This window comes from Homo sapiens, chromosome 21, assembly GCF_000001405.40.
Source record: "Homo sapiens chromosome 21, GRCh38.p14 Primary Assembly".
Lineage (NCBI taxonomy): Eukaryota > Metazoa > Chordata > Mammalia > Primates > Hominidae > Homo > Homo sapiens.
This window is the reverse complement of record NC_000021.9, coordinates 43,916,104-43,931,228: the sequence shown is the minus strand read 5'-3', so window position 1 is coordinate 43,931,228 and position 15,125 is coordinate 43,916,104. Positions and strand designations below refer to the sequence as shown.

The window sequence follows — 15,125 nt, the reverse complement described above, 5'->3', positions numbered from 1 at the left end:
ATGCGGGGAACGTGGGAGGTCCAGCACACAGGTGTCAGTGTGACATCATTTCTAAAAGGTCTCTGTTTCCCTCACTGACACTCCCCCTCATCCAGTGTCCGCCCTGACCCCGGGTCTGGACAAGAAAACTGACCTGGAGAGCAGTTGGGCTGTCCAGTCACGGGGCCCTCGAGAAAAGGCAATGGCAAACCCACCCCAGGGCCCCACGCTGAGTCCCTGATGAGCCTCAGACGTGCGTTCACCCCCACTCTAGAGCCCCCACAGCCCCTGCCCCAGGATCTCACGTAGTGGGGGCCATAAAAACAATCTGTAATGCGGAACAGGAACATGCAGGAAGGAAGTGGCGCCCGCCCGAGGGGACAGGGCAGCAGGCCCCTTGCGTTTGTCACCAGCAGCTTGAGGACCGCACACTGGCCTGCCGTGGGCCACCCCGGCCACCGTGAGGAGCCACCTCCTGCCACCCCAGGAGGGGACACTGGCCCTACAGCAGCCCCCTGGGAATGTGCCAGCAAGCCCTGCTTCCCTCTGCTCCCCTCAGCCCAGGTGTGCACCCCCACCTCATCCCCGCCTTCCCCTCATCCCGACAGAAACACCCACCCACCCTCACCCCGCCAGGCCTGCCCACTGTGGACACCCACAATCAGGAGCTGCAGCCTCTGAGTTCACGGGGCAGAGCTTGCTGTCCCCAAGGTCTGAGAGAGGCCCAGAGAACAGGGACAGTAAGAAAGATGATGTTGCTGAGACACACCACAGCGAGGTCCCATGGGCCACGCTGAGGTCGCACGGGCAACCCTGAGGTCACACTCAGTGGCAGGTGCTTTACACAAATGATCCCTCAGCGCTCAGCACAGCTCTGCCCCGCTAGCTCCACTGCCTCTGAAAATAATCCTGCCCAGGACCACAAAGTCACTGGCAGGCCCAGGACAGGGAACCGGGCTGCATTGGTATTGGCACCAGAGCCCCCTACCCCACCGTGCGGCGTCTCTGCCCTGAGACCTCCCACAACTGTGTCCCCGGGGGCAGGGAACCGTGGAAGGGGAACCCAACTTCTCTCTGCCTTAGACTCTCCGTGGAGTGACGGTTGATAACTCTATTCCCCACTTTCTTCAAAGACACTGTGGATTCGTGACTTCCTGAACGTGAAAACGGGGCTGGATGATGTACACAGAAGTGCCAGGACAAGGCACCCTGGGTTCCAGGAGGACAGTCACTCAAGTCCTCTCTCTCCGGCACGCCTGGGCTGTCGGTGCTCCAGAGAACGCGTCTGTCACCTGCAGCCCAGTGTCCGCTGCATTTATGAGGTTAATGAGACACTGTGAGCTCGCTGGGAGCGCCATCTCACCAACCTGTCTACCTGGATTTAGCTCGGCACTCAGCCAGGCGGGAGCTGTCCCCAGGCCAGTGACACAGGCAGGACCTCAACAGAGAGGGTCAAGGCCCAGCACTCACGGGCCCCACAGCTCCTGCCCATCCTGCCCACCCTCCAGCCTGAGGAATGTGGGCCGCGTCTTCTCCCTCCATCCCAGTAAGGAGCAGCATCCACAGGCCAAGCCTCTGCAGGTGTCCCCTGTCCTGCCACACACACTGGCTCTGGCAGGCCGTGTCCGGTTCTGCAGGGACCAGGCCTTGCCCAGGACAGCGGCGACCGGGGGAGGTGGCTTTGCTGTGGCCAGCAGGCGGCACCGTCTTGTTCTGTGTGCCAATCCCACTTGCCCTTCACATCTTTCAATAAACAAATAAGGACACACATAAAAATAGAAGTCCCACCGTGGGAAGGCTCCTGGCTTTGACTCGCTCTGGGGTCAGCACGGGCCGTGGTGGCAGAGGCTCCAGGAGTGTGTGGTGATGGCAGGGAGCGGCTGACAGAGTGTCCTTCCAATCCACATGGGGACAGGGCGCGGGTTACTATGCAAACCAAACAAAGCACACAAGCCCGCATGCGGCCCAGAGCCAGGCCCGTCTCCTGTGCTCTGGAGCCTGTCGGAACCATCTTACGCTGTTGCTGCCGCCACACGGCTGTACATGCCCTGCTTCCATGAAAGGTGGGCACACAGAGCTCCCCACCCGCATGAGGCACCCACTACGGGAGCAGTGGCCTCCTTCTGAAGGTCACAGGGGACTGGCTATCGGGGCCCCGCCACTCAGGCACCTCACAGTGAAATAACGAGAACGCACGGAGTTTTCAAAATATGGTATGTCTGGCCAGGGTGGCACACTCTGCTTCCTGAATTGTGTGGCCTCCTAAAGTCAGTCACAGTCACGTGCAGACAAGGTGGGGGTGGTGGGTACACACAGCTGAGGAACCTGCCGGAGCCACCTAGGGTGGGGCCAAGGCACAAACTCCGTAGGGCAAAAAGAGGATTGGTGTGGGGATAAATTTCAGCTCATTGTGAAACAAAATTAGACAGCGCCTCATCTGTAGTATCCGTAGGTAGCCAAACACACGCAAACACACCCTCCTCAGTAAATCCGATGACGTCTCCAGTAGCGAGTGCCCCAGCTTGAAATGCATCCCAGAAGGAAAACTCCTACATGGAAAGTGATTTCTAAACAAGATGTAGTTTCAGACGTGAAATCTGTTGGAACAATTATCACGATTACTAAAATGCGCATGTATCAGCTTGCTCTGAGTAAAAACACTTAAAACCTAAGTCAAACCTTCAGACAGAGCAGTGAACTGCATGGATCACTGCAGCCTACGGGTCGGGAGAAGCAGAGGCCTCTGTCCCCAGGCGGGAGGCACTGAACCCTCCAGAGTGCTGCTGCCCACGCTGATCTGCAGAATGTCTTGGTGAACCTTACCCTATTTCACTCCCTCGGGGTGACGGGGTGGGGAAACAGAACTCGGCTGCCCCCCGGAATGACGGGGCTTGCCACCTTGCCTGTGTGTATATTCCTTAACGCTGTGTCAGCGTTTCTGAGCAGGCATTTTCAAAACAGTGGCCGTGTCGAACTCAGGGCAGGGGTACACCTGCAGGCCCCGGAGAAGAGGGCCCCTGTGGCTGGAGTTGAAACCATCATGCCCTTGGCCTGCCTGAAACCGTCGCTTCTTATTGTGCAGCGGAGACTTCCACGTCCAGCAAGGATCACAGCTTCCGGTGGGCCGAGTGGTTATTCCGTTTCTGCTGCGTCCGGGAGCTGCGTCCGGCTGGTTCAGCTTCCCAGGGCACGGGGCAGCAGGTGCCACGTCAGCCCTGCCAGGATGCAACAGGCCCAGCTCCTTGGAGAGGGAGGGTGTGTTCTCCTCCAACACCAACAGAAAGAGTTCCAGAATTTGGGGCAAGGCGTTCTAACTTGAATTGTGTGGCCTCCTATAGGCTGGGGTACCTGTCCCCAGGCACGTCGGTCGCCCTCACCAGGCCCCTCTGCAGGCCAGGCCTGACCTGGCAGCTCTGTGGCCCCACACATTTGCTCCTCATGGAAGCCCTTACACCTTACAGATGAGGAGACTGAGGCACAGAGAGGTTCAGCAGCTTGCCCAGAGCCACACAGCCAGTCAGTAGCAGAATCAGGACTCAAAACCCAGGCCATCTCACCACAAAGTCACTGCTCCCACAGATAGGAGCCAAGGATCAAAACCCAACCAAAGTGCTTATCTCACATCTTCACTGGAAAGGAGGTTTCCCATCAGCTGAGAACACTTCAGCCTCTAGCTGGAAAGAAGCCTGCTGCAATTTAAGACGGGAAGAGCAGAGAGGTGCCGAGCACTTGACACAGAGCTTCCTTTTGCTAACTTCTAAAATCAGGTCTCAATGGACTGGGAAGAAACAAAAACTCAGCCCTCCAATCAACCTGGAGCACCAGCCCTGATAGCCTCACAGCCTGGGGGAGACAGACCCACCCAGTCCTTCAGCTGCAATAGAACATTTCAAGCAAAAAACACTCCAACTTTTAACTCTGTGGGGTTCTTTTTTAAAGATTTTGTAAATTTATAAATATATATACCTACTATGTACCCACAAAAATTAAAAATACAAGATTTTGTAAATTAATGATATTTTATAAAAGAGAGTAATACACCTTGCTGTAAAAATTTTAAACCAAGACGAGGTACATGGTCAGAAGGGAATGCTCAGCCCTCACCCCGTCTCCATCCCCAGGACTGACCACTGTTCAAATCTGGTATTGGCTGGTGGCTCATGCCTGTAATCCCAGCACTCTGGGAGGCTGAGGCAGGCAGATCAGGAGTTTGAGACTAGCCTAGGCAACATGGCAAAACCCTGTCTCTTTTTTTTTTTTTTTTTTTTTTTGAGACAGAGTCTTCCTCTGTCGCCTAGACTGGAGTGAGATGGTGCAATCTTGGCTCACTGCAACCTCCACCTCCTGGGTTCAAGCAATTCTCCGGGTTCAAGCAATTCTCCTGCCTCAGCCTCCCAAGTAGCTGGGATCACAGGTATGCTCCACCACGCCCAGCTAACTTTTTGTGTTTTTAGTAGAGACGGGGTTTTGCCAGGTTGGCCAGGCTGGTCTTGAACTCCTGACCTCAAGTGATCCACCCACCTCGGCCTCCCAAAGTGCTGGGATTACAGGCATCAGCCACTATGCCCAGCCCTCCTTTTTATTAAAAAAAAAAAAAAAAAAAAAAAAAAAAAGGCCAGCGTAGCTCACGGAAGCTACCCCAGCAGCACGACACAGAGCTCTTTTCTTAAATGCCGCAGCATGGAAACCCAGGAACGCGCCGTGGGGGCTGGGGGCTCCTCTCGTGCACGCGTGGCCCCTGAAGCTGCCTGTTCTCTGTGAGAATGAAACACCCGAGCCAACGCTGGGCCACCCCAGGGGATCCCGGATAAAATCACCCCCAGTCCTGCCACACAGATGCGCATGCCCTCCCTGCTGGACCACCCCGCTGTCCTACGTGTTACCTGACGTGGTCCCCAGAGAAACAGCTTGTTCAGCCAAGGACGGCAGAGCGAAGGCTCAGCACCCCCTTGGCGCCAGTGCGTTACTCAAGAACACTCCAGATTTCACCGCTGCTGGAGGACAGGGCTGAGGAGCTGGAGTCCATGTCCCAAGCAGGCGTCTGTGTCTCAGGCAAAAGTCTACAGATGACCTGTACCCTGGTGCTGACCCAGCGGGAGAAGGCAAGCCGCAGCCACCGTACCACTGAATGCTCCAGTGGCCACAGTAAAACACAGAGAAAAGTGGAATTAACTTTAACGATGTGTTTTACCTAATCCAACATATCCAAAATATCACAGACTTCTCCATCGGACACTGAAATCCAGTACCTATTTCCAGCTCTCAGGGCCTCACACGTGGGCCTCGCCGCTTCTCCTGGGCAGGCAGCTACATGGCGCCGGCGGCCACCACACCAGAGAGGCCAGCTCTGGGTTTGTTACTCCCAGGACATTTGCAGCAGACGAGGATTGGCCTGCCCTGACGGAGAAGGTGGAATGGACTTGGGAGTCCTGCTGTGGCACGTCCTGACAGAGCTCTGTGTGGGAATGTGGGCGCTGGAGACAGGCGCAGGCCAGATGCATGAATGTCACAGGTGCCCAAGTCAACACAGGGTTATGGGGTGCAGGGGCAACAAGCCACGGGGCTACAAGGGGTCAATGCCCCCTGAGGGGACAGAGCGGAGCTGGAGGCGCTGGGGCTGGGGCTGAGGAAGAGTCCAGCCCAGAGGGCACAGACTTGGAGACAGCATGGGGTCTGAGACCAGGACCCCAAGCTCCCGTTCTCCCTCCCCCTTTTGTCTACCCACAATGACTCAGGTGCCTCAAAGTCAGCCAGGGAAGAAAGAGAGTTCTGCTCAGGGGCAGCCCCGCTGTCCTTACCTTGTTGGACCCCGGGGGCAGGTCCCTGGCTGGAGTGTGTGAGCAGCAGGAGGTGGCAGAAGTGTGGGGCCCTGGCTTTTATCTGCTGCCCAGACTGGGAGGGGCAGGAGGGTGGGGAGGAAGAAATCTTGCTGGATCCTCTCTTGCCTGAGCAGGGAGGAGGACTCTGCCCTCTTCCCCGCATGACCCAGAGTCTCTGCAAGCCAGGACGGCAGAAGCAGCCAGCAGCATGGCTGGGAGCAACCACAGGAGGGCCCGGGACAGTGCCTACGGCCGCTCACGGCAGCTGAGCCAGCGCCAGCGAGGGGAGAGAGTCCTGCCAGGGTGGGCACCGTGGCCGTCTTCCCGTTCTCATCATCACAGAGACACTGACCAAGAGGATATGACCAGGCCCCACACTCACAAAAGAGGCCAAGCCAGAAGTCGAACGACCATGTGTCGGCGCCCTGGCTGAAGTGCAGTGAGGAAGGACTCGCAAAGAAACAAGAAAATGCCTCTTCTCACACAGCTCAGGTAAAAGGTCAAAGACACACGGGGCTTGAAATCCTGACAACTCTGCCAAGTTGTAGGAGGCTCGGGCTGCCATCCCAAAACGCACATTCCCACACGCCTCTCCAACACGGCAGCCCTGGACTCAGCCCACAGGGTGACAGCCCAAGCCCCTTGCGGCAGGGTGGGGCTCAGGGGGAGTCTTCAAAAGAAAAGCCCAGGCGTGCCCTTCTCGACCTTCCTGCCTGGAATGCAGATGAAACAGCCGGGGCAAGGCAGCCATCTCGAGACCAGCGAGCCACAGCTAGGACAGAAGCCGGGGCCGGAGCATGATGTCGGAGGAGGTCAGGGTCTCTGCGGCATGGCAGGGAAGTGGCCGCCACCCTGACCGCCTGATTGCTAACAGGAGGAAGATGGATCTGCTGTTCGTGAAAGTGCTTGCAAAGGCAGAGCCTGCTCCTCACGGGAGCGGACCTGGGGAGCTGTGTGATAAGCAGCAGGTATTTATTGGTCTTAGTCCCTGGTTCCTGACACAAAGCTCATAAATTCCTTGTAATTTCCTGAGTGGGAAGGGTGACAGGAGCATCTTTTGTTCTATTTGGTTCTTGTACAAAGTTCTTAAAACCTTACATTTTCCTGGCTCGGCGCGATGGCTCACGCCTGTAATCCCAGCACTTTGGGAGGCCGAGGCGGGCGGGTCACGAGGTCAGGAGATTGAGATCATCCTGGCTAACACGGTGAAACCCCGTCTCTGCTAAAAAAAAAAAAAAAATACAAAAAAATTAGGCAGGCGTGCTGGCGGGCACCTGTAGTCCCAGCTACTCGGGAGGCTGAGACAGAATGGCGTGAACCCAGGAGGTGGAGCTTGCAGTGAGCTGAGATCACGCCACTGCACTCCAGCCTGGGCAACAGAGCGAGACTCCGTCTCAAAAAAAACCAAAAAAAACACCTTACATTTCCTACAGGATGGGAGCATCTACTGTTACTCCTAACAAGCCTTTCAATCTCACCTGAGTGACAGGAGACTTGCGGGGCCCTCGACAGCACTCCCCAGCCCCCTGCCGTCCTCCAGGAAGGACAGGGGCTGGAGACCAGGCTCCCTCAAAACTCTTGTACAATGGACTTCAGGGTGGTGAACTCACCCACATGCTGGGAGGCCCGTGCACCCCAGCTCCCCAGGGACAGAAGCCCTGGTACCCAGGATCCCCCAGGCCTCACTCTGTACCCCTTTCCCCCTGGCTGTCCATCGGATCCTTCGTAACACCCTCTACCAGAAACCAGCAGACACAGCTGGTATTTCCCTGAGTTCTGTGAGCTGTCCTGGCAAATGTTCAAACTCGAGGGCATCATGGGAACCCCAGCTTCCAGCCAGTTGGGTCATGGATCACAACCTGGGATTGGCATCTGACAGTGGGGCAGTCTTGTGGGACTGGGCCCTGGCCCTGGGGGATCTGACGCGTCAGAACTCAATGGAATTGGAGGGCGCCTGGGTGGGTGCCCTGGAGCACTGCTTGTGGGGAAACATCCACGCATCTCACGGCAGAAGTGTTCTGTGTTGAGTATGAGAGTGCAGTAGGGAGAAAATCTTTCTTTCCTTTTCACAGGGGACAAACTAACGAGTATTAAACTATAGATCCTGACATCAGCGCAGGCTGCTTCCCGAGGCGTTGCCCGGTCCCCGAGTGCATGAATCTGGAGGTACATGGAGTGCCCCCCAGACAGCGACTCCCCCCACCCCCTACTTCATGCCAGTGTCCCTTCCTGCAGCACAAGGAGCCCTGGGCACTGGTGGTGTGCTGGTGAGCACAGGTCCCCGAGGCTGCGAGCCTCATGGCACGCCTGGCTGGATTCCATCCCCTCTAGGAAAGAACCCAGTGCTCTCTGGGTTTGTTCTCCTTGTGCCAGCACAGACACCTGCAGCTGGTTTTCTTTGGGAAGCACACCCTTCACAAAGTCTAAAAACCCCGTGTGAGCATGGGGAGAAAGAAACAGGGACTCCTGACACAGAACAGACGCTCGCACCCCAGAGCCCGCCCCGCTGGGGACAGGCGCCCCATGCCCAGACCCCAGGCTGGCTCTGCCACCACCACTGGGCAGCCAGTCACATCACACAGCGAAAAAATGCAGCCAATCCTCATGGCAGCCCCTATGCTGACGGAGTGACCTGCCTGGCACGTGGCTCCTGAGCCACAGCCCCTGTGCTGGGAGACCCTACACTGACGGAGTGCCCTGCCTGGCACATGGCTCCTGAGCCACAGCCCCTGAGCTGGGAGACCCCATGGAAGCCCAGAGCACACTGTTGTTTCCCACAGAGCAGGTAGCTCCAGCCCAGACTTCAGCCTTTGGTCACAGGTCACAGACTGTGCCGGGGGGGACCCAGGCCCAGAGTCTCTGTGCCCCCTGCCATGCAGGCCTCTCTTCCAGGGACACAGGGACACTCTCCTCCACGTGCTGCCTGCCTTGAGGGTGGGGTTAAGGAGGGTCCCAGGGAGACTCTCCTCCACTCGCTGCCTGCCTTGAGGGTGGGGTTAAGGAGGGTCACAAGCCAGCAGCCTCCTTCGAGGACTGAAGCAGGTCCCTGCCTGGCTCGGCCCAGCGTCCTGGGGGCTGCACTCCTTCGCACGCACGCTTCCCCCCACGCTTCCTGTTTGCTGATGTGTTCACCATCCTCGCCTCGCCACCCCCACAAGAACAGGAGCCTCCTCCGTCACATCCACTCCTCGTCCCCAGGCTGAGAAAGGCCCTGATAAATGCATCACACACGTGCTCTGTGCGACTCCCCCACAAGCCTGGGCCTCCACATGCACCAAGGCCCCCGGGTGACTCATCCCCGTCCCCAGGTGACTTCCAAAAAAGGAAACCTTTTCCATTATAAAAAATCTCCCCCAAATAAGGAAGCCCACATTCTCACAACAATCTATCAAGTATTTGCTAAACCTTCACAAAAATGGCATCGAGAGACAGAGAAATCAGGAAAAGAATGTCCCAACACTCACACTGATGGTGACCCCCGGGGAGCTGTGAAATGTCCTCTCCACACTCACCCCACACCTTGGTGGGGGAGACAGGCCCGCCGTCCCCAGACACCCAGCTTGGGGTGGGAGGCTGTCAGGAGGTTAGTATCGTGTTAAAAAAGTAATTAACGCTTTATCCCTGGGGGAAAAAAAAAAGAGCTCAGAGAATCAACAGTGTGGAGCTAATTACTGATTAACAAAAGAACCACCACCAACCCCGGCTTTTGATTGCGGACCCAGCGAAGTGACTTCAAAGGCACCACAAAACTAACAAGCGCTCCAGGGCTGCTCATCACCTGGTGCAGCCCAGAGTCTCACCCGCAGGAAACAAACTCTTCTTTCCTTCTGTCCCCACATTCAACACTCAACACAGAATGCTCTGCTCACCAAAACGGGTGGGGATTTCGGCATCAGAAAATCCCATGGCGCCAGGGCTCGCCCTGGAGACTGCCCCACTTGTGACCTGTGCTCCTGACCACCGGGTCAGGATGCTGATCCTAGCTTGTGACCTGTGCTCCTGACCACCCGGCTAAGCTGGGGTTCCCACGGTGCCCTCCTTGAGTTTGATCATTTGCTAGGACGGCTCACAGAACTCTGGGAACACCGTCTACTGGTTTATTATAAAGGGTGTTATGAAGGATCCGGATGGACAGCTGGGCGGAGAGGAGCACAGGGCGAGGCCTGGGGTGTCCAGGGCACAGGAGTGTCCAGTGCTTCTGACTGACCAGCTACAGGGTGGCTTTCCAATGACTCCCCCTCAGGTTCAATTAATTTGCCAGAGCAGCTCACAGAACTCAGGGAGACACATTTACTGTTTTGTCTTGTTTTGTTTTTTTGAGGCAGAGTCTTGCTCTGTTGCCCAGGCTGGAATGCAGTGGCCCGATCTCGGCTCACTGCAAGCTCCGCCTCCAGGGTTCACGCCATTCTCCTGCCTCAGCCTGCTGAGTAGCTGGAACTACAGGTGCCCGCCACCACGCCCGGCTAAGTTTTTGTATTTTTAGTAGATATGGGGTTTCACCGTGGTCTTGATCTCCTGACCTCGTGATCTGCCCGCCTCAGCCTCCCAAAGTGCTGGGATTACAGGCGTGAGCCACCGCGCCTGGCCTCATTTACTGGTTTTTATAAAGGATGTTACAAAAGATACAGATGAAGAGATGCACAGGGTGAGGTATGGGGCAGGGAGCTCGGAGCTGCTGTACCCTCCCCAGGGCTCCACCCTCCGGGAACCTCCCCGTGCTTAGCAGCCTGCAAGCCCCCAAACGCTGTCCTTGAGGGAGTCTGTGGAGGCTTCATTACACAGGCACGATCGAGCAGAACACCGGCCACTGGTGATCCACTCCACCTCTGCGGGCTCCCTCCCCTCCCCAGAGGTCCACGGGTGGAGTCCCAACCTCTAATTACATGGTCAGTTGCCCTGGCAACCAGTCCCCCAGGAGGCTGTCCTGGAGCCCCAGCCACAGTCACCTCATTAGCAAAAAAAAAGACACTCAGCACTAAAGGTTGTAGGAGCTGTGTGCCCAGAGCCAGGGCCAGAGACCAAAGTATGTTTCTGATTACATCACACTATCACACTCACCAAGCATCACCTGCCCAGCTGCGCTGTCTCCTCTCAGCCGAGTCACACTCACACACACATTCAACACTCACACGCACACACACACTCTCACACTGACACATTCACGCTTTACACACACCCTTACACACACACACTCACTCACAATCTCTCACACACACACACACAGGGCTGAAGACATGATGAGTGTCCCAGCATGCAGTGGGGGAAGAAATGGACTAAAAAGACACAGCCTCGCACTCTGGGAGGGGTGCGGACGTGGTCACACCCCCGCCTGCAGTGCACTCCTGTCCCTTCTCCAAGCTTCAGGTGACAACCAGGATCCTGTCTGGAGACCCCCCGCGGACTCCAAGCATGGAGATGCAGACGCCCGCATGGCACCCACACATGAGGAAAGCCGGTTTGAAAACACCATGGAACCAAAGTCCCGGCTCCAAGATCTTTACACTATTTGGGAAGAAAACAGAGACACCCATGCTTGCGTCAGCAGTACGTGTACTAAAACCGGAACGAGGCAGAGAAGATTAGCGTGGCTCCTGCAGAAGGACGACATGCAAATTCGTGAAGCATTCCACATTTTTGGCTGGCATGGATGTGGTGAACAGGGAACACCTCTACATTGCTGGTGGGAATGTAAACTAGTACAACCACTGTGGAAACAGCATGGAGATTCCTTAAAGAACTAAAAGTAGATCCACCATTCGATCCAGCAATCCCACTCCTGGGTATCTACCAGAGGAAAAGAAGCCATGAGCGGAAAAAGACATATGCATGTTTGCAGCAAGATGACTTGCAATTGCAAGGATACAGAACCAACCTAAAGCATCCATGGACCGAAGAGTGAATAAAGAACACGTGGTCCATATACACCACGGAATACTACTCAGCCATCAAAAGGGACAAAATAATGTCTCACAGCAACTTGGATGGAGCTGGAGGCCATTATTCTAAGTGAAGAAACTCAGGAACGGAAAACCAAAAACTGTTCTCACTTATAAGTGGGAGCTAAGCTATGAGAACGCAAAAACATAGAGTGATATAATGGACAGGGAAATTGGGAAGGGGGTGAGGGATAGAGACTCTATATTGGGTCCAGTGTACCACTGCTCGGGTGACAGGTGCACTAAAATCTCAGAATTCGCCACTAAAGAACCTGTCCGCATAACCAAAATCCACCTGTACCCCACACACTAGTGAAGTTTAAAAAAAAAGAAAATAGAGACACCGGTAAACTTTTGTGACATCAAGCATGCATCCTAACATTTAAGGACGACACTCCAAGAATATAAATGATGGACAGATGTGTGACTTCTGCAGTAGGAGAAACAGGAAATAAAAACAAACTTCACCCAGTCTCAGAGCAGGCAGGAAAGTGAAGGAAAAGAATGTTAAGTAATAACGATGGTGATGGTAAAGTAGAAAGTTAAGACAAAAAAAGAAAAAAAAGTTAAACACATAAGTAATCACAAGTATAAACAGCATTTAAAAATTTAGCTGTCAGCCGGCAGGGGTAGCTCACACCTGTAATCCCAGCACTTTGGGAGGCTGAGCCATGCAGATGGCTTGAGGCCAGGAGTTCAAGACCAGCCTGGCTAACATGGTGAAACCCCATCTCTACTAAAAATAGAAAAATTAGCTGGGCGTGGTGGCGCACGCCTGTAATTCCAGCTACTCAGGAGGAGAATCACTGGAACCCGGGAGACGGAGATTGCGGTGAGCCAAGATCGTACCACTGCACTTCAGCCTGGGTGGCAGAGCAAGAGTCAGTCTCAAAAAAAAAAAAAAAAGCCAGCAGTCTGCCAGATTGCTAGATTTACAGAGACACACAAAGCTAAAATGTAACCAAGTGTCCCCCATTTTTCTGTTTCTAAATTATTTTTATCTCTTCTCTTCTCTTGTCTCCATTTCCCCCTGTTCCCCACTTCCTACATAGCCCTTTAGAAATGCAATTATACCCTTTTCCCTTCCATTCACTGGACACTGCCGATGGGGCAAGCTCACCTAACCATGTGCTCAGGAGCTCCAGGGGAACCCTCAGCCACCAGGTGGCTACCTCTAGAGACAACAATTGATCCACACCCAAAGTGCTGTTATGAACTAACTCTCTCCACCTGGAAAGTTCTGGCCACCTACAACACCCACAACACCCACAACCGCCGCAACACCCACAACCTCCACAACCCAACACCCACAACTCCCACAACACCCACAACTCCCACAACACCCACAACTCCAACACCCACAACCCCCACAACACCCATAACACAACACCCACAACACAACACCCACAACACCCACAACACCCACAACCCCAACACCCACAACCCCCACAACACCAACAACCCCTACAACACCAACATCCACAACACCCACAACCCCCACAACACCCATAACACAACACCCCCAACACCCACACCCCCTACAACCCCCACAACACCCACAACACCCACACCCCCTACAACACCCACAACACCCGCAACCCCTACAACCCCCACAACCCCCACAACACTCACAACTCCTACAACACCCACAACACAACACCCACAACCCCCACAACACCCACAACACAACCCCCACAATACCCACAATACCCACAACACCCCAACACAGTTCTGCCGGGGAAGATGCCAACTCGACCACCCGGTAGATAAGGCAGCGAAACGAGTTATGCGGACCCCCACCTGCCAGCCTCCTCCCCTGTGTGCCACACATCCCCCCACCTTTAAAAGTTCCCACTTTCTGCTCCAAAAGCAAAGTGGTACCCTCACTTTACCTCTTCCCCTAAGCTAGCTTTGGAATAAAGTCACTTTCTTTATACCCGACGTGCTCTTGTTAATTGGACTCTGCCAGCAGCAAGCGACTAAACCTGTGTTTTGGTCACAGAAACTGTGAAACTGTGTCACACAGAGGCAGAACTTAAAGGCAGAGAGGACACACAGACGGACACCAACGTGGAGATGACTGGAGTGGGAGCGTAAAGCTGCACTCTATAAAACACCTGCAACCAGACGGCAGACCTGAGCGCCTGGAGGGCTCAGCAGAGACCCGGAGGGAGGGTTGTGCCACGGCAGTGCAGGGCAGCAGAAGGAGGAGCAGCGGGACCGCGCCGGCAACAGGCTCACAGCACCCAGAGGGGCGGATGTGCCCTGGATGGAGGTGACGAGCAAGAAGGCTGACAGCGGTACGTGTGTGGGGGGCGGGGGCGGGGGTGCTTACCGTGTGCTTTGAGGACAACCCAGCAAATGGGGCGGTGGGGCAGGCCAGGGCAGAGTGGGCCCCCCTCACTTGCCCGCAGGGTGCCCGGGAGTGGGGAGAGGAAACAGCTTGGCTCTGGGACAGGAGAGAGGGGCCACGGGCTCTGCCACCGTCACTGTTCCTAGAGAAGCAACAGACCTTACCCAAAAAGGAGCAGCCTGAGGATCTTAGATACAGACACGAGCACGAGGCGGCCACAAACAAGACTCCAACTTCCCCGGCTATCCGCTCAACACCACCAAAAACTCGACCGAAGTGAAACAAAAACCCAGAGAGGCAAGAGCAGAAACCACGCATGGGAAGATGCAGGCGTCTGTGCTGTGTGTGCGAACGTGCATGTATTTTATCTGCAACTCCCTAAAATACACAAAATGACCACAGCCCTGGTCCAAACACACCAATCATATCTACCGATACAAAAAGCCTCCAATCACCTACTAAAAGGACAACATTCGCACTGGCTTAAAACAAACCCCAACTCTGCAGATAGAAGAGAAAGACCTAAAACAGAGAAATTCAGCAGAGTTAAAAATACATGAAATAAATATATACTGGAAAAATGCAAAAAAAAAAAAAAGGGTTCAATATCTTGATATTAGACAATAAAATATCAGGCCAAATGAAATAAATGAGACATCAGGAATATAACGCTAAAACTAAAATTCTTAGAGCAGATATAGTCATTCGATATGTTCGTACCAAATAACCCGACACACTTCATTCAGCAGAAATTCTGGGGATGCTACAGAAACCCATCTCAGCATGTGAAGGCAGGAGACGTGCGTGTCCCTTCCAACCCGAGACAGAACACGCGGGCAAGAAATAAGCACACAAGGCTGTCAGACATATAAACAACAAAATTAAAGAAGCAGTGCATAAGGAGAAAGAGGCAATTCTGTACTTGGTAAGAGAGAACACACCTTTCTTTTTTCAGTATCCCATGGAAACATTCATAAACAGCACCCATATATTAAGCAGCAAAGAAATTTTCAACCAATACCAAGTAATAATTAAAAT

At 54.5% G+C, this 15,125-nt stretch overlaps 1 protein-coding gene and 1 pseudogene across 19 annotated transcripts in view, besides 12 other annotated features; one reads left to right on the top strand and one right to left on the bottom strand.

The window, feature by feature from the left end:
- The window catches only part of AGPAT3 (1-acylglycerol-3-phosphate O-acyltransferase 3), a 122,370-nt gene that overhangs the window by 56,364 nt on the left and 50,881 nt on the right, over positions 1-15,125 (bottom strand). For 4 of the 19 annotated variants that reach the window (XM_047440920.1, XM_047440928.1, NM_001037553.2 and 1 more), the window contains exon 1: positions 5,778-5,831. The exons of 13 other annotated variants lie outside the window; for them this stretch is intronic. Coding sequence is in view for 1 of the 6 variants with exons in the window: in XM_017028408.2 (XP_016883897.1) it covers positions 14,252-14,405 (154 nt within the window). In the remaining 5 variants the exon portion in view is untranslated. Of the gene's footprint in view, positions 1-5,777; positions 5,832-14,251; positions 14,442-15,125 lie in introns of those variants that run through there. 2 more of the 19 variants (NM_001369880.1, XM_017028408.2) reach the window with 1 other exon arrangement.
- Positions 4,426-5,323: an enhancer, noted in NCBI's record as "H3K27ac-H3K4me1 hESC enhancer chr21:45345787-45346684 (GRCh37/hg19 assembly coordinates)". NCBI's record gives its function as "activates a minimal SCP1, AML or CMV promoter by ChIP-STARR-seq in naive H9 embryonic stem cells {active_cell/tissue: H9 hESC(naive)}" and the evidence as "EXISTENCE:reporter gene assay evidence [ECO:0000049][PMID:30033119]".
- Positions 5,324-6,223: an enhancer, noted in NCBI's record as "H3K27ac-H3K4me1 hESC enhancer chr21:45344887-45345786 (GRCh37/hg19 assembly coordinates)". NCBI's record gives its function as "activates a minimal SCP1, AML or CMV promoter by ChIP-STARR-seq in naive H9 embryonic stem cells {active_cell/tissue: H9 hESC(naive)}" and the evidence as "EXISTENCE:reporter gene assay evidence [ECO:0000049][PMID:30033119]".
- Positions 8,022-8,919: an enhancer, noted in NCBI's record as "H3K27ac-H3K4me1 hESC enhancer chr21:45342191-45343088 (GRCh37/hg19 assembly coordinates)". NCBI's record gives its function as "activates a minimal SCP1, AML or CMV promoter by ChIP-STARR-seq in primed H9 embryonic stem cells {active_cell/tissue: H9 hESC(primed)}" and the evidence as "EXISTENCE:reporter gene assay evidence [ECO:0000049][PMID:30033119]".
- Positions 8,022-9,045: a biological region, named in NCBI's record as "H3K27ac-H3K4me1 hESC enhancer GRCh37_chr21:45342191-45343088".
- Positions 8,796-9,045: an enhancer, noted in NCBI's record as "active region_18557". NCBI's record gives its function as "activates an Ori minimal core promoter by ATAC-STARR-seq in GM12878 lymphoblastoid cells {active_cell/tissue: GM12878}" and the evidence as "EXISTENCE:reporter gene assay evidence [ECO:0000049][PMID:35858748]".
- Positions 9,387-9,681: an enhancer, noted in NCBI's record as "tiled region #2423; HepG2 Activating DNase matched - State 5:Enh". NCBI's record gives its function as "activates a minimal TATA promoter and a strong SV40 promoter by Sharpr-MPRA in HepG2 cells {active_cell/tissue: HepG2}" and the evidence as "EXISTENCE:reporter gene assay evidence [ECO:0000049][PMID:27701403]".
- Positions 9,820-10,717: an enhancer, noted in NCBI's record as "H3K4me1 hESC enhancer chr21:45340393-45341290 (GRCh37/hg19 assembly coordinates)". NCBI's record gives its function as "activates a minimal SCP1, AML or CMV promoter by ChIP-STARR-seq in primed H9 embryonic stem cells {active_cell/tissue: H9 hESC(primed)}" and the evidence as "EXISTENCE:reporter gene assay evidence [ECO:0000049][PMID:30033119]".
- Positions 10,718-11,617: an enhancer, noted in NCBI's record as "H3K4me1 hESC enhancer chr21:45339493-45340392 (GRCh37/hg19 assembly coordinates)". NCBI's record gives its function as "activates a minimal SCP1, AML or CMV promoter by ChIP-STARR-seq in primed H9 embryonic stem cells {active_cell/tissue: H9 hESC(primed)}" and the evidence as "EXISTENCE:reporter gene assay evidence [ECO:0000049][PMID:30033119]".
- On the top strand, positions 11,328-11,434 carry RNU6-859P (RNA, U6 small nuclear 859, pseudogene; annotated as a pseudogene).
- Positions 12,916-12,965: a silencer, noted in NCBI's record as "silent region_13374". NCBI's record gives its function as "represses an Ori minimal core promoter by ATAC-STARR-seq in GM12878 lymphoblastoid cells {active_cell/tissue: GM12878}" and the evidence as "EXISTENCE:reporter gene assay evidence [ECO:0000049][PMID:35858748]".
- Positions 13,442-13,991: an enhancer, noted in NCBI's record as "H3K4me1 hESC enhancer chr21:45337119-45337668 (GRCh37/hg19 assembly coordinates)". NCBI's record gives its function as "activates a minimal SCP1, AML or CMV promoter by ChIP-STARR-seq in naive H9 embryonic stem cells {active_cell/tissue: H9 hESC(naive)}" and the evidence as "EXISTENCE:reporter gene assay evidence [ECO:0000049][PMID:30033119]".
- Positions 13,870-13,919: an enhancer, noted in NCBI's record as "active region_18556". NCBI's record gives its function as "activates an Ori minimal core promoter by ATAC-STARR-seq in GM12878 lymphoblastoid cells {active_cell/tissue: GM12878}" and the evidence as "EXISTENCE:reporter gene assay evidence [ECO:0000049][PMID:35858748]".
- Positions 13,992-14,542: an enhancer, noted in NCBI's record as "H3K4me1 hESC enhancer chr21:45336568-45337118 (GRCh37/hg19 assembly coordinates)". NCBI's record gives its function as "activates a minimal SCP1, AML or CMV promoter by ChIP-STARR-seq in naive H9 embryonic stem cells {active_cell/tissue: H9 hESC(naive)}" and the evidence as "EXISTENCE:reporter gene assay evidence [ECO:0000049][PMID:30033119]".